The sequence below is a fragment of the Homo sapiens genome, chromosome 18 (genome assembly GCF_000001405.40).
Source record: "Homo sapiens chromosome 18, GRCh38.p14 Primary Assembly".
NCBI classification, from domain to species: Eukaryota; Metazoa; Chordata; class Mammalia; order Primates; family Hominidae; genus Homo; species Homo sapiens.
The window spans coordinates 35837591-35859155 of NC_000018.10; the positions used below are offsets into that span (position 1 = coordinate 35837591).

The window sequence follows — 21565 nt, forward strand, 5'->3', positions numbered from 1 at the left end:
TAAAGGACTTACTTAAGCTTTAGAAATTAAATGGAAGTATCATACCCCCGACATCCATCCTCGTCAGAAAATATAAAAAAGCTGAATCAGCCTTTCAAGAATCATCTAACTAAGTTAATTTTAGAAACTCAATTACCCTGGACTAAGTGTCTCCCCATCACTCTACTCAGGATCCAAACTGCCCCTCGAAAAGATGTTGGTCTATCCCCTTATGAAATGCTCTATGGGTTACAATGCTTAAGTTCCACTAGTGATATTCCCACTTTTGAGACCAAAGATCAATTCCTTAGGAATTATATGCTTGGTCTATCTTCTACCTTATCTTCCCTTAGGACTAAAAGTCTCTTAGCGCAAACCTCACCTCTTGAGTTTCCAGTCCATCAGCACCAGCCCAGAGACTACATCCTCATTAAGAGCTAGAAAGAAGAAAAACTTAAACTGTCCTGGGAGGTATCATATATAGTGCTCCTCAACTAAAACTGCAGTTCAAACCGCCGAGAAAGAATGGACCCATCACACCCAAGTCAAAAAAGTGCTGCCCCCTTCAGGGTCAAGGGCCATAGTTCGAGGGGAAAATCCTACCAAACTAAAGCTAAGGAAAGTTTAACTCTATTTCATCTATTCTATTACTCCTTCTTTCCTTGTTCTGTTGCTAGCCATCTCGTTATTAATGTAACTAGATCAGACTCACCCCAGACCACAACCTTTGATGCTTGTTTAGTTATATCTTGTGGGGATCTCCAAAGCCAGAGACAGCTTGCAGCAGCAAAAAAATCTCTCTGCTCCTCCATAGCAGATGCTTCTAAAATTGTTTAGGTACTTATTTTGTCATACTTGAGAATATGTCATTTGAACCACTCAATGTCAAGACTGGGTCCCCTCAGATGATTTCCCACTATCAGTTCTAAAGCCCTATATCCATTTTACTAAAGAAAGTGCCACTCCTAATTGTCAACATAACCAATGTAACCCAGTACAAATTTCCATCACCATCCCAACTCTTCAAGATTCCTCCCCAACCCTAGACCATTTTTATGGTACGAGAACAGATGTAACAAAAAAAAGACCCCATAGGATTTTTCGAGTTACACATCATTACATCCTCATCCCTCACATCTCCACCTCTATCCTCTTCTAAACCTGCTGACCAGACCACTCTCTCTTCACCTAATGACAAAACCAAAGTAGCTATTGTAGAGGTTAAAAATTTAAAACAAACACTGGCAATTGAAACAAGATACCAAGATACAAATGCCTGGATGGAATGGATTGAATATTCTGTTCACACTCTAAACAAAAACAACTGTTATGCTTGTGCACACTGAAGCCAGAGGCCCAAGTTTTCCCCTTTCCACTTAGACGGTCTTCTGACCAACTGGACATGAGCTGTATGGTGGCTCTTTTCCAAGACCCCACAGCCTGGGGTAATGAATTCTGTCAAATTCTCTCTCTGCTATTCCCTGAAGTTCAACACCCTGTGGGTCAGCCCCAAAGGGCCATCCAGCCTCCATCTCCAGATGCCAATTTTACTTCATGTCTCTCATGACAGGGAGAAAATTTGGCGTTTCTTAGAGATCTAAAGGTATACAGTAAGCTTAAATCTTTCCAAGAGCTTACCAATCAGTCTATCCTTGTTCATCCCTGAGCTGATGTATGATAGTATTGTGGTGAACCCCTACTGGACACTCTGCCAAGTAACTGGAGTGGCACTTGCACTCTAACTCAATTGACCATCCTGGCATTTCATCAACCAGAAAAAGGGAAAACACAGCATCATAAAATGAGAGAGACCCCTCATGGATCTTTCGACTGTCATGTCTATATAGATGCAATTGGAGTCCCACAGAGGGTACCTGATAGATTCAAAGCCTGAGACCAAATAGCTGCACAACTTGAATCATTATTTCCATGAGTAACTATTAATAAAAATGTAGATTGGATAAATTACATCTATTATAACCAACAATGATTGATTAATTACATTAGGGATACTGTCAAAGGAATAGCTGAACAATTAGGGCCTACTAGCCAGATGGCTTGAAAAAACAGAATGGCCCAGATATGACATTAACAGGAAAAGGTGAAGTTTGTGTTATGATAGAAACCCAATGCTGCACCTTCATTCCCAATAATACAGCCCCTGATGGAACAATTACAAAAGCTTTACAAGGTCTTACCTCCCTATCCAATCAATTAGCCACAAATTCTGGGATAAACGACCCTTTCACAAGATGGTTAGGGAAATGGTTTGGTAAATGGAAAAGACTCATGACCTCTATTGTTACTTCTCTTACAATTGCAATAGCTGTGTTTATTCCTGTTGGATGCTACATCATACCCTACATTTGTAGACTAGTCCAAAGACTTATAAAAACAACTGTTACCAGAACATTTCCTAGTTCTTCCCAATCCTATACAAATAAATTATTTCTCCTGGAAGAACAATAAAGCCAAGTCAGGTTAGATAAGCTTGAAAAAAAAATGTATAAATTCAACAGGGGGAAATTGTTGTTAAGAACAAATAGTTCCTCTTCAAAAGGGTTTTGGTTCCTGATTCTTTGTTCTATTCTAAAAGGTAATTGTACCCATTCATCTATCAGCCCTCCCTAACTCTGTTGTGCCCAAACATCCCAAGATGTACCATACCTGTCCTTCCCATCAAAGGCCCACCCTTGCCTCCTTTGATGTCAACAGTAGTCAATTGGAATTAGCCTAGATTGTGAGGTCCAACCCCAGCCCTCAGGGGGAGGACACAGGAACAGGATCTGTGTTAGGGATAAAAAAAACTCCTGCTCTCCTTTGTTTTGCATACTCTCCCTTGCCTCTGCCTTGCATGCAAAAACACCCTTCTATAAAAGTAAATTGCCTTACTGAGAAAATTTTGCCTGAGTGCTGGTTTCACCTTGCAGCACTGAAAATTTGTTTCTAACATAATGTTATGCCAGCATCAGGTTGGAAAGTAAGCCACATTATATAGGATTAAATAAAACCCATCTGATGAGATTTTATGGGGACCAACTCCACCTTGCTTCTAACCTTTAAGCTGTCCTTGTTCATTCCTGGGTGTAGGCTGAACTAACTTTGGGAAGGAATTCAGTTCACGGTTTGACTCTGAAACAAAATTGATAATAGTCCTTTTCCGAAATGATCCCCTTCTTGCCTGGGGACCAGTCGGCCTTTGTAGGACTAACAAATTAGCTACAAGATTAGAAATTACAGTTTAGAAGTCATGCAGCCTCAGGCTGCAAGAGTCCAAACCTCTCCAAATTGCTCCTGGGGATAACATCACTATTGTAAAACCTAAGATCAATGTTTGAGATATTTTGCAGACCCTGCACTCCATGGATCATCTGACACCACCCAGATTGGTAATCTGGCTCAACCAGTTCTGCCATCCCACCCAAGAGAAGAAGACAGCAAGAAAAACTCATTTTGACTCCCCTATGATTCCATCTCCAACCTGACCAGTCAGCCCTCCCTGCTCCCCAAGCCCCTACCCACCAAATTATCTTTAAAAACTCTGATCCCCCCAGTGCTCGGGAAGACTGATTTGAGTAATAATAAAACTACTGTCTCCACACAGCTGGCTCTGCATGAATTACTCTTCCTCCACTGCAATTCCTCTGTCTTGATAAATCAGCTCTGTCTAGGCAGTGGGCAAGGTGAACCCATTGAATACTTACAAAAGTAACCCCTCCCTCGCTTTGTTTCTTGCTACATTTATAGCTACCTATTTGCTTGAAAATTCCAAATGCTAATGTTTAAACAATCCAGGCAAGAAGCTGAGATGGCAGTTGCAATTTTCCCCTTTTTGAGAAGAAACCAGTGCTTGGTTAACCCATAACCCAATCCCTGCCAAGATGAGTCAAACCAGGCCTCTGGATGGTCCATTACTCAAACTAGCCATCAGAAAATGACAAGCAGTGCTGCATCCCAGACCACTTCTGTGCATGGTTTCCATGCAACCTTTCCCCTTAAGACCCCTTTAGTGGCATGGTGCCAGAGGAGGAAGTGGTGAGGTTGTTGCCTGCTCTGTGCCCACCACTGGCTCTTGGGGCACAGAGAGGGGCTGCAGTCTCCACGGCTGCCTCATGCTCTCCTGCAGTCCTCTCCATGTTCCCTGGCACCACCACTCCTGTTCCTAAGGCCGCTGCTTACCCCAAGGTCTATGGAAGTAATGGAAAGACCCCTCAACCTGGCTCATCAACAGAGCAGATGAGCAGACCGTTTATTAGCAGCAGACAAATATGAAGAGGCTATTTCTTGTCACAAAAAGGCTGCAGCCTATCTTTATGAAGCCATGAAGCTGACACAATCTGAACAGTAAAAGCTGAGCTTTTACTGGAATTGCAAAGGGATAGTCACATGAAACAGCTCCTCCTCATCCAAGAGAGATGGAAAAGGCCCCAGCATGAAGAAAGATTGAAAGCCCAGCAGAACACAAAGGATGTAACCGCCCATCTTCAGGCATCTCACAAACCCTCTGCAGAGGATGCAGAGTGCCAGAGCCCCTTTTCTCAGAAGTACAGCCCTTCCAGAGAGAAACGCCTGCCTGAGATTCAGGGGATCTTTGAAAGGGACTCAAACACACTACTATATTTACTTCAGAAAAAGAGTGAGCCAGCAGAGCCATGTATTGGAAGCAAAGCCCCAAAAGATGACAAAACAATTATAGAGGAGCAGGCATCCAAAACTGCAGATTTGAAGAGGCATGTGGAATTCCTTCTGGCTGAGAATGAAAGATTAAGGAAAGAAACAGCTAAAGGTTGAAAAGGCCAGACTTCTAAAAGGTCCAGTAGAAAATGAGCTGGATGTAGACGCTGATTTTGTAGAAATGTCAGAGTTATGGAACTTGCCACCACATTCAGAAACTGCTACAGCCTCCTCAACCTGGCAGAAGTTTGCAGAAAATACCGGGGAAGCCAAGGACATTCAATTCCCAATCTTCCTCCCTTGGATTTTTCATCTCCAGAACTTCCCTTTATGGAGCTCTCTGAGGATATTACGAAAGGATTTATGAATAATTAAAATGGAAGGCCACATAAGAGGGAAGAGGAAATAATATAGTAATAGTTAATGCAGAAAAAAAAATGAAAAGGGAAAACCACATAGAAGGGTCATCCCGGAAATGCTTCATCTGGCGGACTGTGGGAGAAGATGCATTGCCAGGACTTGGGAAACAGTGTCACTGTGAAATGTGTCGCATATCTGATTCACTGACTTGAGCTAATGATTCCGACTTGGCAGACACTGAACTCATGGAGGTTCAGTTTCTCCTGATACAAACCAAATGGCTTCCTGGAATAATTTTTTTTTCAAGCAACATTTTTTCTTATCATCAGGGTTAAAATGTATAAAAGTATGTTATGCATAATTAATCTACAATGCCATAAATGATAATGCAAAACCTAAATAATATTGTGGCCTGAGGGACTACCTTATATTTGAAACAGCCTTTCTATCATTCATTGACTGTATGCATCTTGTTAATGCATATATTGTTTAAATAAGGTGTGTTAAGAGACACACCCCTCTAGATGAAACTATATGTGCCACACTTTGAACTACTCATAATTATAACCTTAAGACTATCAGGAGAAATATTTAAATTTCTACTTTATGAAGAAAGGAACCAAATTATTATGCTTTTTTAAACAAATTACCAGTTTACATAATTAATCAGGGTACATTTTAAGTTCTAACTTTGTTTAATGTATAATGCATCATTTGCAAATACCAAGGAGGAAATACCCTTTGGTTTTAATGATGTGAGAGTGGAAGTAATGCTAGTTGGCAGTATTTGATTGTAAGAAATCAATAAAGTAATTGTGTTTTTTTTAAAAAAAAAAAAAAGTTGGGTGCAGTGGCTCATGCCTGTAAATCCCAGTACTTTGGGAGGCCAAGGCAGGCAGATCACCTGAGGTCAGGAGTTCGAGACCAGCCTGACCAACATGGAAAAACCCCATCTCTACTAAAAATACAAAATTAGCCAGGCATGGGGGTGCATGCTTGTAATCTCAGCTACTCAGGAGGCTGAGGCAGGAGAATTGGTTGAATCTGGGAGGTGGAGGTTGCTGTTAGCTGGAATCACACCATTGCACTCCAGCCTGGGCAACAAGAGTGAAACTCCATCTCCAAAAAAACAAAAACAAAAAAACCCTTTAGCCAGCTTGAGGTTGGTTGGTTGGTTTGTTTTTTCGTGTGTGTGTTTTTTTTTTTTTTTTTTTTTTGGAGACAGAGTCTTGCTCTGTTGCCCAGGCTGGAGGGCATTGGTGCAATCTCAGCTTACTGCAACCTCTGCCTCCACGGTTCAAGCAATTCTCCTGCCTCAGCCTCCCGAGTAGCTGGGACTACAGGCATGTGCCATCATGCCCGGCTGATTTTTTTTTTTTTTTTTTTTTTTTTGCATTTTCAATAGAAATGGGGTTTCACCATGTTGGTCAGGCTAGTCTTGAACTCCTGACTGTCAGGCCGCTGAGCCCAAGCTAAGCTATCATATCCCCTGTGACCTGCACATATACATCCGGATGGCCTGAAGTAACTGTAGAATCACAAAAGAAGTGAAATTTAAATGGCCTGTTCCTGCCTTAACTGATGACATTCCACCACAAAAGAAGTAAAAATGGCTGGTCCTTGCCTTAACTGATGACATTACCTTGTGAAATTCCTTCTCCTGGCTCATCCTGGCTCAAAAAGCTCTCCCACTGAGCACCTTGTGACCCCCACTCCTGCTCACCAGAGAACAACCCCCCTTTTTCTTTTACCTACCGAAATCTTATAAAACGGCCCCACCCTTGTCTCCCTTAGCTGACTCTCTTTTTGGACTCAGCCCACCTGCACCCAGGTGAAATAAACAGCCTTGTTGCTCACACAAAGCCTGTTTGGTGATCTCTTCACAGGGACGCAAGTGAAATTTTGGTGCCATGACTCACATCAGGGGACCTCCCTTGGGAGATCAATCCCCTGTCCTCCTGCTCTTTGCTCCATGAGAAAGATTCACCTATGACCTCGGGTCCTCAGACCAACCAGCCCAAGGAACATCTCACCAATTTTAAATGAGGTAAGTGGCCTCTTTTTACTCTCTTCTCCAACCTCTCTATCCCTCAACCTCTTTCTCCTTTCAATCTTGGCACCACACTTCAATCTCTCCCTTCTCTTAATTTCAGTTCCTTTCCTTTTCTGGTAGAGACAAAGCAGATGCATTTTATCCGTGGACTCAAAACTCTGGCACCGGTCACAGACTCAGGAAGACAGTCTTCCCTTGGTGTTTAATCACGCGGGGATGCCTGCCTGATTATTCACCCATGTTTCAGAGGCGTCTGACCACGTGGGGATGCCTGCCTTGGTCCTTCACCCTTAGCAGCAAATACCATTTTTCTGGGGGGCAAGAACCCCCCGACCCCTTCTCTCCATGTCTCTACCCCTTCTCTGCTTTCCTGGGGGGCAAGCACCCCCTACCCCTTCTCTCCTGTCTTTACCCTACCCCTGTCTCTACCCTCTTTTTTCTCTGGACTTGCCTCCTTCACTATAGGCAACCTTCCACCCTCCATTCCTCCTTCTCCCTTAGCCTATGTTCTCTTAAGTTCTGAAGACTTAATACCTCTTCAACTCACACCTGACCTAAAACCTAAACACCTTATTTTCTTCTGCAATGCTGCTTGACCCCAATACAAACTCGAGAGTGGTTCCAAATAGCCAGAAAATGGCACTTTTGATTCTTCCATCCTACAAGATCTAGATAATTCTTATCGTAAAATGGGCAAACAGTCTGAGATGCCTGACGTCCAGGCATTCTTTTACACATTGTTCCCTCCCTAGTCTCTGTTCCCAATGCGACTCATCCCAAATCCTCCTTCTTTCCCTCCCGCCTGTCCTCTCAGTCCCAACACCAAGCATCACTGAGTCTTTCTAATCTTCCTTTTCTACAGACCCATCTGACCTCTCCCCTCCTCCCCAGGCTGCTGCTCACCAGGAGGAGCCAGGTCCCAATTTTTCCTCACCCTATAATACTTTTATCACCTCCCCTCCTCACACCCAGTCCAGCTTACAGTTTGGTTCTGCAACTAGCCCTCCCCTACCTGCCCAGCAATTTCCTCTTAAAAAGGTGGCTGGAGCTAAAGTCACAGTCAAGGTTAATGCTCCTTTTTTTTTTTTTTTATCTGACCTCTTTCAAAATCAGTAAGTGTTTAGGCTCTTTTTCATCAAATATGAAAAACCCAGCCCAGTTCATGGCTCATTCGGCAGCAACCCTGAGACACTTTACAGCCCTAGACCCTAAAAGGTCAAAAGGCCATCTTATTCTCAATATACATTTTATTACCCAATCTGCTCCTGACATTAAATAATGCCCCAAAAATTAAATTCCAGCCCTCAAACCCCACAACAGGACTTAAACTTGCCTTCAAGGTATACAATAATAGATCAGAGGCAGCCAAGTAGCAATGTATTCCTGAGTTGCAATTCCTTGCCTCCACTGTGAGACAAACCCCAGCCACATCTCCAGCACACAAGAACTCCAAACGCCTGAACCATAGCTGCCAGGGGTTCCTCCAGAACCGCCTCCCCCAGGAGCTCGCTACAAGTGCTGGAAATCTGGCCGCTGGGCCAAGGAATGCCCACAGCCCAGGATTCCTCCTAAGCCATGTCCCATCTGTGTGGGACCCCACTGAAAATTGGACTGTTCAACTCACCTGGCAGCCACTTCCAGAGCCCCAAGGCTCTCTGACTGACTCCTTCCCAAGGCTCTCTGGAACTCTGGCCCAAGGCTCTCTGACTGACTCCTTCCCAGATCTTCTCGGCTTAGCAGCTGAAGACTGACGCTGCTCAATCACTTCGGAAGCCTACAGGACCATCACAGATGATTTCAGTAACTCTTACAGTGGAGGATAAGCCCGTCCCCTTAATTAATACAGAGGCTACCCACTCCACATTACCTTCTTTCCAAAGGCCTGTTTCCTTTGCCTCCATAACTGTTGTGGGTATTGACGGCCAGGCTTCTAAACCTCTTAAAACTCCCCAACTCTGGTGCCAACTTAGACAATACTCTTTTAAGCACTCCTTTTTAGTTATCCCCACCTACCCAGTTCCCTTATTAGGCCGAGACACTTTAACTAAATTATCTGCTTCCCTGACTATTCCTGGGCTACAGCCACATCTCATTGCCACCTTTTCCCCCAGTTCAAAGCCTCCTTCACATCCTCCCCTTGTATCTCCCCACCTTAACCCACAAGTATAAGACACCTCTACTCCCTCCTTGGTGATTGATCATGCACCCTTTACCATCCCATTAAAATTTAATCACCCTTACCCCACTCAATGCCAATATCCCATCCCACAGCGGGCTTTAAAAGGATTCAAGTCTGTTATCATTGCCTGCTACAGCATGGCCTTTTAAAGCCTATAAACTCCCCTTATAATTCCCCCATTTACCTGTCCTAAAACCAGACAAGGCTTACAGGTTAGTTCAGGATCTGCACCTTATCAACCAAATTGTTTTGCCTATCCACCCTGTGGTGCCAAACCCATACTATCCTATCTTCAAGACCTCCCTCCACAACCCATTATTCTGTTCTGGATCTCAAACATGCTTTCTTTACTATTCCTTTGCACCCTTCATCCCAGCCTCTCTTCACTTTCACTTGGACTGACCCTGACACCCATCAGGCTCAGCAAATAACCTGGGCTGTACTGCCACAAGTCTTCACAGAGAGCCCCCATTACTTCAGTCAAGCCCAAATTTCTTCCTCATCTGTTACCTATCTCGGCATAATTCTCATAAAAACACACGTGTGCTCCCTGCTGATCATGTCCGACTGATCTCTCAAACCCCAACACCTTCTACAAAACAACAACTCCTTTCCTTCCTAGGCATGGTTGCGTACTTTTGACTTTAGATACCTGGTTTTGCCATCCTAACAAAACCATTATATAAACTCAATAAAAGAAACCTAGCTGACCCCACAGATCCTAAATCCTTTCCCCACTCCTCTTTCCATTCCTTGAAGACAGCTTTAGAGACTGCCCCCACCCTAGCTCTCCCTGACTCACCCCAACCCTTTTCATTACACACAGCTGAAGTGCAGGGCTGTGCAGTCAGAATTCCTACACAAGAACTGGGACTGCACCTTGTAGCCTTTTTATCCAAACAACTTGACCTTACTGTTTTAGCCTAGCCCTCAAGTCTGCCTATGGCGGCCACTGCTACCCTAAAACTTTTAGAGGCCCTTAAAATCACAAACTATGCTCAACTCAATCTCTACAGTTCTCATAACTTCCAAAATCTATTTTCTTCCTCACACCTGACACATGTACTTTCTGCTCCCAGGCTCCTTCAACTATTCTCACTCTTTGTTGAGTCTCCCACAATTACCATTGTTCCTGGCCCAGACTTCAATCCAGCCTCCCACATTATTCCTGATACCACACCTGACCCCATGACTATATCTCTCTGAACCACCTGACATTCACTCCATTTCCCAATATTCTTTCCTGTTCCTCACCCTGAACACACCTGGTTTATTGATGGCAGTTCCACCAGGCTTAATCACCACTCACCAGCAAAGGCAGGCTATGCTATAGTATCTTCCACACCTATCATTGAGGCTACCACTCTGCCCCCCTCCACTACCTTTCAGCAAGCCAAACTAGTTGCCTTAACTCAGGCCCTCACTCTTGCAAAAGGACTATGCGTCAATATTTATACTGACTCTAAACATGCCTTCTATATTCTGCACCACCATGCTGTTATATGGGCTGAAAGAGGTTTCCTCACTCCGCAAGGGTCCTCCATCATTAATGCCTCTTTAATAAAAACTCTGCTCAAGGCCGCTTTACTTCCAAAGGAAGCTGGAGTCATTCACTGCGAAGGCCATCAAAAGGCATCAGATCCCTTTGCTCTAGGCAATGCTTATGCTGATAAGGTGACTAGAGAAGCAGCTAGCATTCCAACTTCTGTAACTCACGGCCAGTTTTTCTCCTTCACATCGGTCACTCCCACCTAGTCCCCCACTGAAACTTCCACCTATCAATCTCTTCCCACACAAGGCAAAATGGTTCTTAGACTAAGGAAAATATCTCCTTCCAGCCTCACAGGTCCATTCTACACTGTCATCATTTCATAACCTCTTCCATGCAGGTTACAAGCCGCTAACCCATCTCTTAGAACCTCTCATTTCCTTTCCATCGTGGAAATCTAACCTCAAGGAAATCACTTCTCAGTGTTCCATCTGCTATTCTACTACCCCTCAGGGATTGCTCAGGCCCCCTCCCTTTCCTACACATCAAGCTCGAGCACTTGCCCCCGCCCAGGACTGGCAAATTGACTTTACTCACATGTCTCGAGTCAGGAAACTAAAATAACCTCTTAGTTTGGGTAGACAATTTCACTGGATAGGTAGAGGCCTTTCCTACAGGGTCTGAGAAGGCCACCACAGTCATTTCTTCCCTTTTGTCAGACATAATTCCTCGGTTTTTAGCCTTCCCACCTCTATACAGTCCAATAGCAGACGGGCCTTTATTAGTCAAATCACCCAAACAGTTTCTCAGGCTCTTAGTATTCAGTGAAACCTTCATACCCCTTACATTCCTCAATCTTCAGGAAAGGTAAAATGGACTAATGGTCTTTTAAAAACACACCTCACCAAGCTCAGCCACCAACATAAAAGGACTGGACAATACTTTCACCACTTGCCTTCTCAGAATTCAGGCCTGTCCTCAGAATGCTACAGGGTACAGCCCATTTAAGCTCCTGTATAGACGCTCCTTTTTATTAAGCCCCAGTCTTTCCAGACACCAGACCAACTTGGACTGCATCCCAAAAAACTTGTCATCCCTACTATCTTCTGTCTAGTCATACTCCTATTCACCATTCTCAACTACTCATAAATGCCCTGCCGTTGTTTACACTGCCTATTTACACTGTTTCTACAAGCCATCACAGCTGATATCTCCTAGTGCTATCCCCAAACCATCACTCTTAACTCCCTCTTAAAGTAAATAATCTTTGCTGGCAGGGCTATGCTGAACCTCCTTAGGCATTCTCTAATTGGATGTCTTGGGTCCTCCCAATTCTTAGTACTTTAATACCTATTTTTCTCCTTGTCTTATTCCATTATTTTTTCAATTCATACAAAACCATATCCAGGCCATCACCAATAATTCTATATGACAAATGCTCCTTCTAACAAACCCACAATATCACCCCTTACTAAAAAATCTTCCTTCAGCTTAATCTCTCCCATTCTGTGTTCCCACACTGCCCCTAATCCCACTTGAAGCAGCCCTGAGAAACATCACCCATTATCTCTCCATACCACCCTCAAAAATTTTTGCCGCCCCAACACTTTAACACTACTTTGTTTTATTTTTCTTATTAACATAAGAAGATAGGAATGTCAGGCCTCTGAGCCCAAGCTAAGCCATCATATCCCCTGTGGCCTGCACATATACAGCCAGATGGCCTGAAGTAACTGTAGAATCACAAAAGAAGTGAAATTTAAATGGCCTGTTCCTGCCTTAACTGATGACATTCCACCACAAAAGAAGTGAAAATGGCTGGTCCTTGCCTTAACTGATGACATTACCTTGTGAAATTCCTTCTCCTGGCTCATCCTGGCTCAAAAAGCTCCCCCACTGAGCACCTTGTGACCCCCACCGCTGCCCACTGGAGAATAACCCCCCTTCTTCCTTTACCAACCGAGATCTTATAAAATGGCCCCACCCCATCTCCCTTCGCTGACTCTCTTTTCGGACTCAGCCCACCTGCACCCAGGTGAAATAAACAGCCTTATTGCTCACACAAAGCCTGTTTGGTGATCTCTTCACACGGACAAGAGTGAAACTGACCTCAGGTGATCTGCCCGCCTCGTCCTCCCAAAGTGCTGGGATTACAGGCATGAGCCACCACACCTGGCCCCAGCTTGAGATTTTTGAGATGGCTTTTAGAGACTTGAGTCTGGCCATCTCCCAAGCCACGAGCACTTGAATAAACCTGCTTTCCTTTTGCCAATCCTCACTTCTCACATATCTGGCTTTTTGAGTGGTGAGCAGCTGAACCTGAGCTCAGTTACAGAATAACACAATTGTTTTGAGATAATTATGCTTGGCTACAAGGATCAATAACAAGGGGTGGGGGCACCAGTCTGAGATTGGGCAGGCAGTTGCTAGACGGATGTCCTTGCAGAAAATATATTTTGTGTAAGGTTGTGATGGCCTTTGTGCAAGGTTGTGGTTTTCGCATAGTCTTTTGTGATAGTTGGTAATAGGCCTTCAAGTATGAGAACCCTCTCTTCATGGCTTTCCCTGACTCTATTCATCAGGGTTTTGTTATTTTTATTTTTATTTTTAACACAAGTGACTCTATTTTAATTCTGACACCTTTCACAATTGGCTCCTATGGACATACTATTGACTGATCAGACTGTGATGCTAGATATTGACTTATAGATGATGGATAAGTTGTAAACGATTTCTGTCTATTGGTTATGAATTCTTACCCTGTGGGCATTAACTAGTTCTGTACCGAATTTAGCAATCTCATCACTGAATTATTTCTTTCAATTGTGGCAGTATACGTGGATTTCATTGAAAATCATTTTATTGCTGAGGCAACAGACTTAGGCAGTGTTTTTCAACCAGTTTATGCAAATACTCAAACTAAGCTCTAATACTGGTCACTCCCAAGATGATCTGAGCATTCCACCTGCAGAAGACTTAAAACACTGTCAGACACCTGAGGATTTTCTAAAGCCCCACGGGTACTAATCTCAGCAAGGGCGGTAGGAACAGCTATTTGCATAACTCACACTTCCCAGGTTTAGAAACTTATTGATTTAAATATGCAAAAAAGCCTGGGGCAGGGACTGAGTAGGTGTGACCGACAGCCTGATGGCTCTGCTTAGCATCAATTAGCATTTCAAAAAGTGTCAAGTTGCTGGAAGACCTTTTTTTAATTGCTGCTAATGGGGGGTTCTAAAGGCAGCAAAGGAGCTATCTGGGTGCAAATCTCTTGCAAGAGAAAGGTATCCAAAAAGGGAATGTGGGAGGTGAGATGAGGGGTGGGGTGGGGCTTCAGCAATAAATATGAAAAGACACTTCATCATCAGATTTTGGAATCCTTAAAGCCTGATTTTCTACAGAACCTCTTGAATTTTTTATTCACAGTGGATCCTCAGCGCCAGGGTTGGCCACTTGCCTTTAACATCCCTGTGGGTAATGCAGAGACTGCTCCAAACACTAAGAAAAAAAAGATGGCTTTCTGTTGCCTGCTGTCATTTGATTGTACTCTTCTAAAGAAAATAGAGCCCATCAGCACAAAATCACTCCCTTCTCATTACTGAGGATATTTTCCGTTTGAGCAGTTGAGGGTAGGAGATGGCAGGAAGTTGAAAAGCTAATGTGACTTACCCAGTGTGGAAATAAACAAAAATTGCCTGGATGAGAGCAGTCAGAGGGAGTCAGCCACAGCCACCATCATGGTCTTGGGCAGAGACTCCAAGGCAGGCAGGGAGAGGGGACGCTTCGTAGTGGAAAATGGGAGGCTTCAGGTGGGCTCTGACTGAAGGCTGTTGGTGTAGGAAAGTGGAGGTGGGCTGACTAGAAGTGAGGACTTCCATATTGTTGCCAGGTAGAACGAGGTCCAGCTGCTTGTTCTTGTGTTCCAATAATGAGATGCAGACAGACTGGGAAAGAAGGGAGTTTCTTATTGAGCTGTGTTATTTCTGCAACCAGTTACAGGGAGAAGGTGAGAGTAACTCATCAGACCAACTCAAAGTTACAAGGTTTTTCTAGTGCTTATATACATTCAGTGCATCTACAAGCTGAAAGCCAAGGTGTTCCACTCTATCTAATCTTTAACTAGGGTCCAGGATCTAGACAATTACTTCAGAGCCTTAGAAAGATGACTTAATCTAAAGTGTATCCGGGTACAAGGTATGCAAGAACGTCTCCATTATTTTAATTAAACTCTAAGATCTGAGAAAGCCCAGGTGGTTTCTTAATGAACTTGTTTTTACATTCTAGCCATTGTACTAAGTTTAACTTATGTTAAACTTAATTAATTAAGTTAACTTATGTTTAATTTGTACATTTACCAGAGCTACAGTAAGGTGCTGGTGAAGGCTGATTGCCCTGGTTGCTAATGGAGACCCGGCCTGCCACACTGTGACTGCTTTGGTGTGCATATTTGGCTGTCTCTGCTTGGTACCAAATTGGGGAGGAGGCAGGGATAAAAAATATAGGGAAGCCACAGTCAGTGTCGAGTGCTGACCCTCCTGGGCTGGTTGCTGCAGAAGTTGTGGGTCAGAATTCCATTGTCTTATATGGTCTGGCCATTGTCTGCTTGTATAGTCTGTCTCTCACCAGGTCACATTAATCATAAAAACCAAGAGGAAATGACTTGTTCTTAGATCATGGTAAGAGCCCCTACAAATCTGGAGCACAAATGGCAACCAGTTTAGGAACACCTACTATTATGCCTGAAATAGCATTCAAGGGAGCCCTTGTCTCTTCTTCCCACTGTCACCAGGAAAGTGGGCTGCTTGGCCAGATGCCAGCAGCAGTTAGATGAGCTAAGTTGCTGGGCTAGTGTAGTAGTCCGTTTTCACACTGCTGATAAAGACATACCCGAGACTGGGTAAATTATAAAGAAAAAGAGGTTTAATGGACTCACAGTTCCACATGGCTGAGGAGGTCTCATGATCATGGTAGAAGGCAAAAAGTACGTCTTACATGGCAGCAGGCAAGAGAGAGAATGAGAGCCAAGCAAAAGGGGTTTCCCCTTAAAAAACCATCAGATCTCATGAGACTTATTCATTACCATGAGAACAGTATGGGGGAAACTGCCCCCATGATTCAATTGTCTCCCACCGAGTCCCTCCCACATGTGGGAATTATGGGAACTACAATTCAAGGTGAGATTTGGTCATGGACACAGCCACACCATATAAGCTAGGGTCCAAGGGTCTGAGGATGCTCAGCTGCTACAATGCCTATCCTGGGCTTCTTGATCAGTGAGCCTCCAGATGTTTCCTTTGGGGACTTCTTAATCAAACACCGCATTCAGTGGGGACATCCATGCTGTGGTCAGAGCCAGGAGTGGTCAAGATGCATGTGTGGTGGGTCATGGACTTGGGAAGGGCAGCCATAGGACCTAAAAGCTCACCCCCTCAGGATAGCCTGCTGACCCACCCAACCCAGAGGCCCGGGGCCCAAAAGACTGGAGAGATAGCACAGGAAGAAAGTCTAGCATGAAAGACTGATCAATCAACAAAAGGAATGAACCAAGGAGAGAAAGAAAACCAGAATGACTTGCCGTCACCACAGTTCACTAAGTCGGAACAGAATCTGTTTTGGACTGCAGCTCAAGCTTCTCACAACTACATGATAGAGGATGGAGGAACTGCCCTCAGCAATGGGTGGTCACAGTCACCCAGAGGGCCAGACCACCCAAAAGAGACCTCGAGTCCCTTCTCACTTTTTTCTCCAAACAGAGGAACCCTATTGTTACATTGTGGCTGTTTGGCAGAATGTCTTTTTCATTTACTTCTATTCTTCCTCTCCTAGAGCTTTTGCAGGGGGCTCCCAGGCTAGAGAAGAAACAGGCGGCCAGTGGAGGCCCTTGCTGGAAACCCATCTTGGGTGATGTCTGTTTGCGCTTCAGCTTAAAATAACCTGGCCCTTGAGGCTAAATGGAAAGAACTTTGTGTTTAAAGTCAGGAGATCTGGGTGTCAGATGGCCCTGGCTAAGGCATTTAAACTCTCACTGTTTATTTTAGAAACTGCCAAAATTAGGGATGCATCCCTGTTTGAGCCCGGTCATGCTCTCCTTCTTTTTATTGCAATGTGATATAAAGCACGGGACTCCAAGAAACAGGCAACATACAAAAGGTTTCATTCTCTTATTCGCTTTGGAAGGCAAGTTGTATAAAGTCCGCACCTTATCTGGGTGTCCCTTTCTGCCTGAAAGTGGGATTCCACACCTGACTAAGTGCCCCAGAGCTGGCTTGGTTTACTTGTCTCTGGGGGCAAAAAACAGAGAGGGCTATGACTGAGACTGTATCTCTGCCACCTTTCCTGGGGGTAAGGGGTCCTGACCATTTTTATCTCTTTCTTCAGGGCAGAAACTCTGGGTTAAAAGTGACATGTAACCACAGTGTTCTTCCTTCATAGGATACACAGGGATACAGACTTCCCCCTAATCCTGAGTAGGGATATTATTCAACAAACAAGCATGATTTTCAAACAAACAGGAAAAATTTACCAGAAATTTGCAAAATTGCAAGTACTTTTCCTTGTTGCAGATACACAGTACATGTCCTGGAAAGGAAAGTATTAATCCTCATATCCCTCACTTTAAAAAAAGACAATCGTTCTATTCATCCTATCTGTTGCCAATGAGAAGGGAAAATCCTTGACTCCATAAAGGAAAATTTTCTCCCAAAGTCTCTGATGGTTAATACTGGGTGTCAACTTGATCGGATTGCAGGATACAAAGTATTAATCCTGGGTGTGTCTGTGAGGGTGTTGCCAAAAGAGATTCACATTTGAGTTAGTGGGCTGGGAAAGGAAGACCCATCCTTAATCTGGGTGGGCACAATCTAACCAGTTGCCAGTGCAGCTAGAATATAAAGCAGGCAGAAAAATGTGCAAAGTAGCTTCCCAGCCTACATCTTTCTCCTGCACTGGATGCTTCCTGCCCTCAAACACTGTATTTCAGTTTTGAGACTTAGACTGGCTCTCCTTGCTCCTCAGCTCGCAGACAGCCTATTGTGGTACCTTGTGATCATGTCAGTTAATACTTTCTCCCTCTCTCTCTCTCTCTCTCTCTCTCTCTCTCTCTATATATATATATATATATATATACACACCATTAGTTTTGTCCCTCTAGAGAATCCTGACTATACAGATTTTGGTACCAAGAGTGGTTCTAGAGGAATAGAATATTAAGGATGGAGTTCTTTCATTGGTTTTGGGGTTCCTAGAGTTGGCTGCTTAATATGATTAGACTAAAAAATGCTGCTAAGGACTCTACTTCTAATAGTAAGGAGAACACTGATAGCCCTTGGCATGAACTGTTTAGAGAGTTATGTAAAATAAATGCATTTGACACTTCTGATTCACTGGTTGTGAGAGGCAAGGAGTTTAGTGACTCTATACATAATACTTTTGACCATATATGGAGAACCAAGGAACATAATGAAGCTGGCTGGTTGTTCCTAAGTTTAATGGACAAATTGATGAAAGAAAATGATGAACTCAGGGATTCTGTCTCCTGGCTTCAGACGAAGATACTGAGCCTCAAATCTGCTAAGATTGTCCTGAGTGAGTCTTATCTCCTGTAGAGAAAGAGCTGAATGGGTGGAAAAACAGACACAAGCTCTTATCATATGAGTGGCTGACCTGCAATGAAAGATGCATGCACAACCTCACCAGGTGTCTACTGTTAAAGTGAGGGCATTGATTGGAAAAGAATGGGACCCTAAAACTTGGAATCGGAACATGTAGGAGGAGCCTTATGAAGCTGAGAACACTGAGTTTGTAAACTCTGATGAACCTTTCTTGCCAGAAGGAACAGCTTCCCCATCACCAGTAGTGGCAACATCCCCTCCCTCAACCATGCTGCCATCAGCCTTTCCACCTTTGTCTGAGGAGATAAACCCTGTGCTGCCTGAGGAAATAGTGATTGCCTCCTCTGGGGCAGCTGCCAGGCAAAATAATGTTGATTCTCCCCAGAAGCCACCCCCAACACTCTTGTTTGCTTCTAGATCTATAACTGGAATAAAGCCCCAGAGGGCCCCTAGAGGTGAGATTCAGAATGTGACCCATGAGGAGATGTGCTACACTAGAAAAGAACTGTTTGAGATCATAGGCATGGGAATGGATATTAAGGGTATGGGATAATGATGGAAGGAACGTAGAGTTGGATCAGGCTGAATTTATTAATTTGGGCCCACTAAGTAGGGACTCTGCATTTAACGTTGCAGCTCGGGGAGTTAAAAAAGGTTCTAATAGTTTATTTGCTTGGTTAGCTGAAATATGGGTTAAAAGGTGGCACACTGTGAGTGAGCTGGAAATGCCTGATCTCCCTTGGTTTAATATAGAGGAAGGGATCAAAAGGGTTAGGGAGATTGGAATGGTGGAGCGGATTAGTCATTTTAGACTTACTCATCCCAGTTGAGGCAGTCCAGAAGATATACCCTTGACCAATGCCTTGTGAAGTAGATTTGTGAGGGCAGCACCTGCATCTTTGAAGAGCCCTGTAATTGCTGTTGCATGTCAGATCTAACAGTGGGAACTGCAGTCACTCAACTATAAAATTTAAATACAATGGAAATAAGTGGATCACAAGGTGGCAGGGGCCAAGTGGCAGCACTCAACTGTCAAAGACAAGGAGGGTGTAGCTACATAATGGACAGCAGAGACAAAGCAGCAATCAGAATAGTCTGACTTGTGTAGTGCTCTGGCATTGGCTAATTAATCACAGTGTTCCTAGAAGTGAAATTGATAGGAAGCCTACTGCATTCCTGCTTAATTTATATAAGGAGAAAACTTCTAGGTCAGATGGACAAAAGACTAATTTTAATTATAAAAACAGAATAATGGACCCTGAATTTCCAGACTTGAGCAAGTTTACACAGAACCCCTTGAATGAAGAGGCGGCCAGGTCCCCTTGAGGAAGGACCCCACTACACTACCCACAATTTATGCTGTTACTCTTTCTCCCACCCTTCCCCAAGGAGTCCTCTGGCCTTTTACCAGGGTAAATGTGCATTGGGGAAAAGGAAATGATCAGACATTTCAGGGAATAAGCTGAAGCTGACATTGATTCCAGGTGACCCAAAACATCACTGTGGTTCTCCAATTAAAGTAGGGGCTTATGGAGGTCAGGTAATTAATAGAGTTTCAGCTCAGGTCCAACTTACAGTGGGTCCAATGGGCTCCCAGACCCATCCTGTGGTCATTTCCCCAGTGCCAGAATGCATATTGGCATAGACATATTTAGCAGCTGGCAGAACCCCTGCATTGGCTCCCTGACTGATGGAGGAAAGGCCAAATGAAAGCCATTAGAGCTGCCTTTACCTAGAAAAATAGTAAATCAAAAAAATATCATATCCCTGGAGGGATTACAGAGATTAGTGCCACCATCAAGGACTTGAAAGATGCAGGGGTGGTGATTCCCACCACATCCCCCTCAGCTCTCCTATTTGGTCTGAGCAGAAGACAGATGGATCTTAGAGAATGGCAGTGGATTATCATAAGCTTAACCAAGTGGTGACTCTAATTGTGGCCACTGTACTAGATGTGGTTTCATGGCTTGAGCAAATTAACACATCTCCTGGTACCTGGTATGCAGCAATTGATTTGGCAAATGACTTTTTCTCCATTCCTGTCCATAAGATCCACCAGAAGCAATTTGCCTTCAGCTGGCAAGGCCAGCAATATACATTTACTATCCTACCTCAGGGGTATATCAATTCTCTGGCTTTGTGTCATAATCTTATTCAGAGAGACCTTGATTGCTTTTCACTTCCAGAAGATATCACACTGGTCAATTACATTGATGACATTATGCTGATTGGATCCAGTGAGCAAGAAGTAGGAAACACACTGGACTTATTGGTGAGACATTTGCATGCCAGAGGATGGGAAAATAATCCAACTAAAATTCAAGGACCTTCTACCTCAGTAAAATTTCTAGGGATGTAGGGCCTGTGAATACATTTCTTCTAAGGTGAAGGATAAGTTGCTGCATTTGGCCCCTTCTATAACCAAGAAAGAGGCACAATGCCTAGTGGGCCTATTTAGATTTTGGAGGCAACACATTCCTCATTTGGGTGTGTTACTCTGGCCCATTTATCAGGTGACCTGAAAGGCTGCCAGTTTTGAGTGGGGTCCAGAAGAGAAGAAGGCTCTGCAACAGGTCCAGGCTGCTGTGCAAGCTGCGCTGCCACTTGGGACATATGACCCAGCAGATCCAATGGTGCTTGAGGTGTCAGTGGCAGATAGGGATGCTCTTTGGAGCCTTTGGCCGGCCCCCATAAGTGAATCACAGCAGAGGCCTCTAGGGTGAAAGACCATGCTATCTTCTGCAGATAACTACTCTCCTTTTGAGAGACAGCTCTTGGCCTGTTACTGGGCTTTGGTGGAAACTGGACATTTGACTGTGGGTCATCAAGTCACCATGTGACCTGAACTGCCTATCATGAACTGGGTGCTTTGTGACACATCTAGCCATAAAGTGGGTTGTGCACTGCAGCATTCCATCATCAAATGGAAGTGGTATATATGTGATCGGGCTTGAGCAGGTCCTGAAGGCAAAAGTAAGTTACATGAGGAAGTGGCTTAAATGCCCATGGTCTCCACTCCTGCCACCCTGCCTTCTCTCTGCCAGCCTGCACTGATGGCCTCATGGGGAGTTCCCTATGATCAGTTGACAGAGGAAGAGAAGACTAGGGCCTCGTTCACAGATGGTTCTGCACAATATGCAGGAATCACCCAAAAGTGAACAGCTGCAGCACTACAGCCCCTGTCTAGGACATCCCTGAAGGACAGCAGTGAAGGAAAATCT

General features: G+C 44.1%; 1 pseudogene, besides 3 other annotated features; it reads left to right on the forward strand.

The window, feature by feature from the left end:
• NRBF2P1 (nuclear receptor binding factor 2 pseudogene 1) lies at window positions 4032–5835 on the forward strand (annotated as a pseudogene).
• Window positions 11997–12928: an enhancer, noted in NCBI's record as "OCT4-NANOG-H3K27ac-H3K4me1 hESC enhancer chr18:33429551-33430482 (GRCh37/hg19 assembly coordinates)". NCBI's record gives its function as "activates a minimal SCP1, AML or CMV promoter by ChIP-STARR-seq in naive H9 embryonic stem cells {active_cell/tissue: H9 hESC(naive)}" and the evidence as "EXISTENCE:reporter gene assay evidence [ECO:0000049][PMID:30033119]".
• Window positions 12929–13862: an enhancer, noted in NCBI's record as "OCT4-NANOG-H3K27ac-H3K4me1 hESC enhancer chr18:33430483-33431416 (GRCh37/hg19 assembly coordinates)". NCBI's record gives its function as "activates a minimal SCP1, AML or CMV promoter by ChIP-STARR-seq in naive and primed H9 embryonic stem cells {active_cell/tissue: H9 hESC(naive and primed)}" and the evidence as "EXISTENCE:reporter gene assay evidence [ECO:0000049][PMID:30033119]".
• Window positions 13863–14794: an enhancer, noted in NCBI's record as "OCT4-NANOG-H3K27ac hESC enhancer chr18:33431417-33432348 (GRCh37/hg19 assembly coordinates)". NCBI's record gives its function as "activates a minimal SCP1, AML or CMV promoter by ChIP-STARR-seq in naive and primed H9 embryonic stem cells {active_cell/tissue: H9 hESC(naive and primed)}" and the evidence as "EXISTENCE:reporter gene assay evidence [ECO:0000049][PMID:30033119]".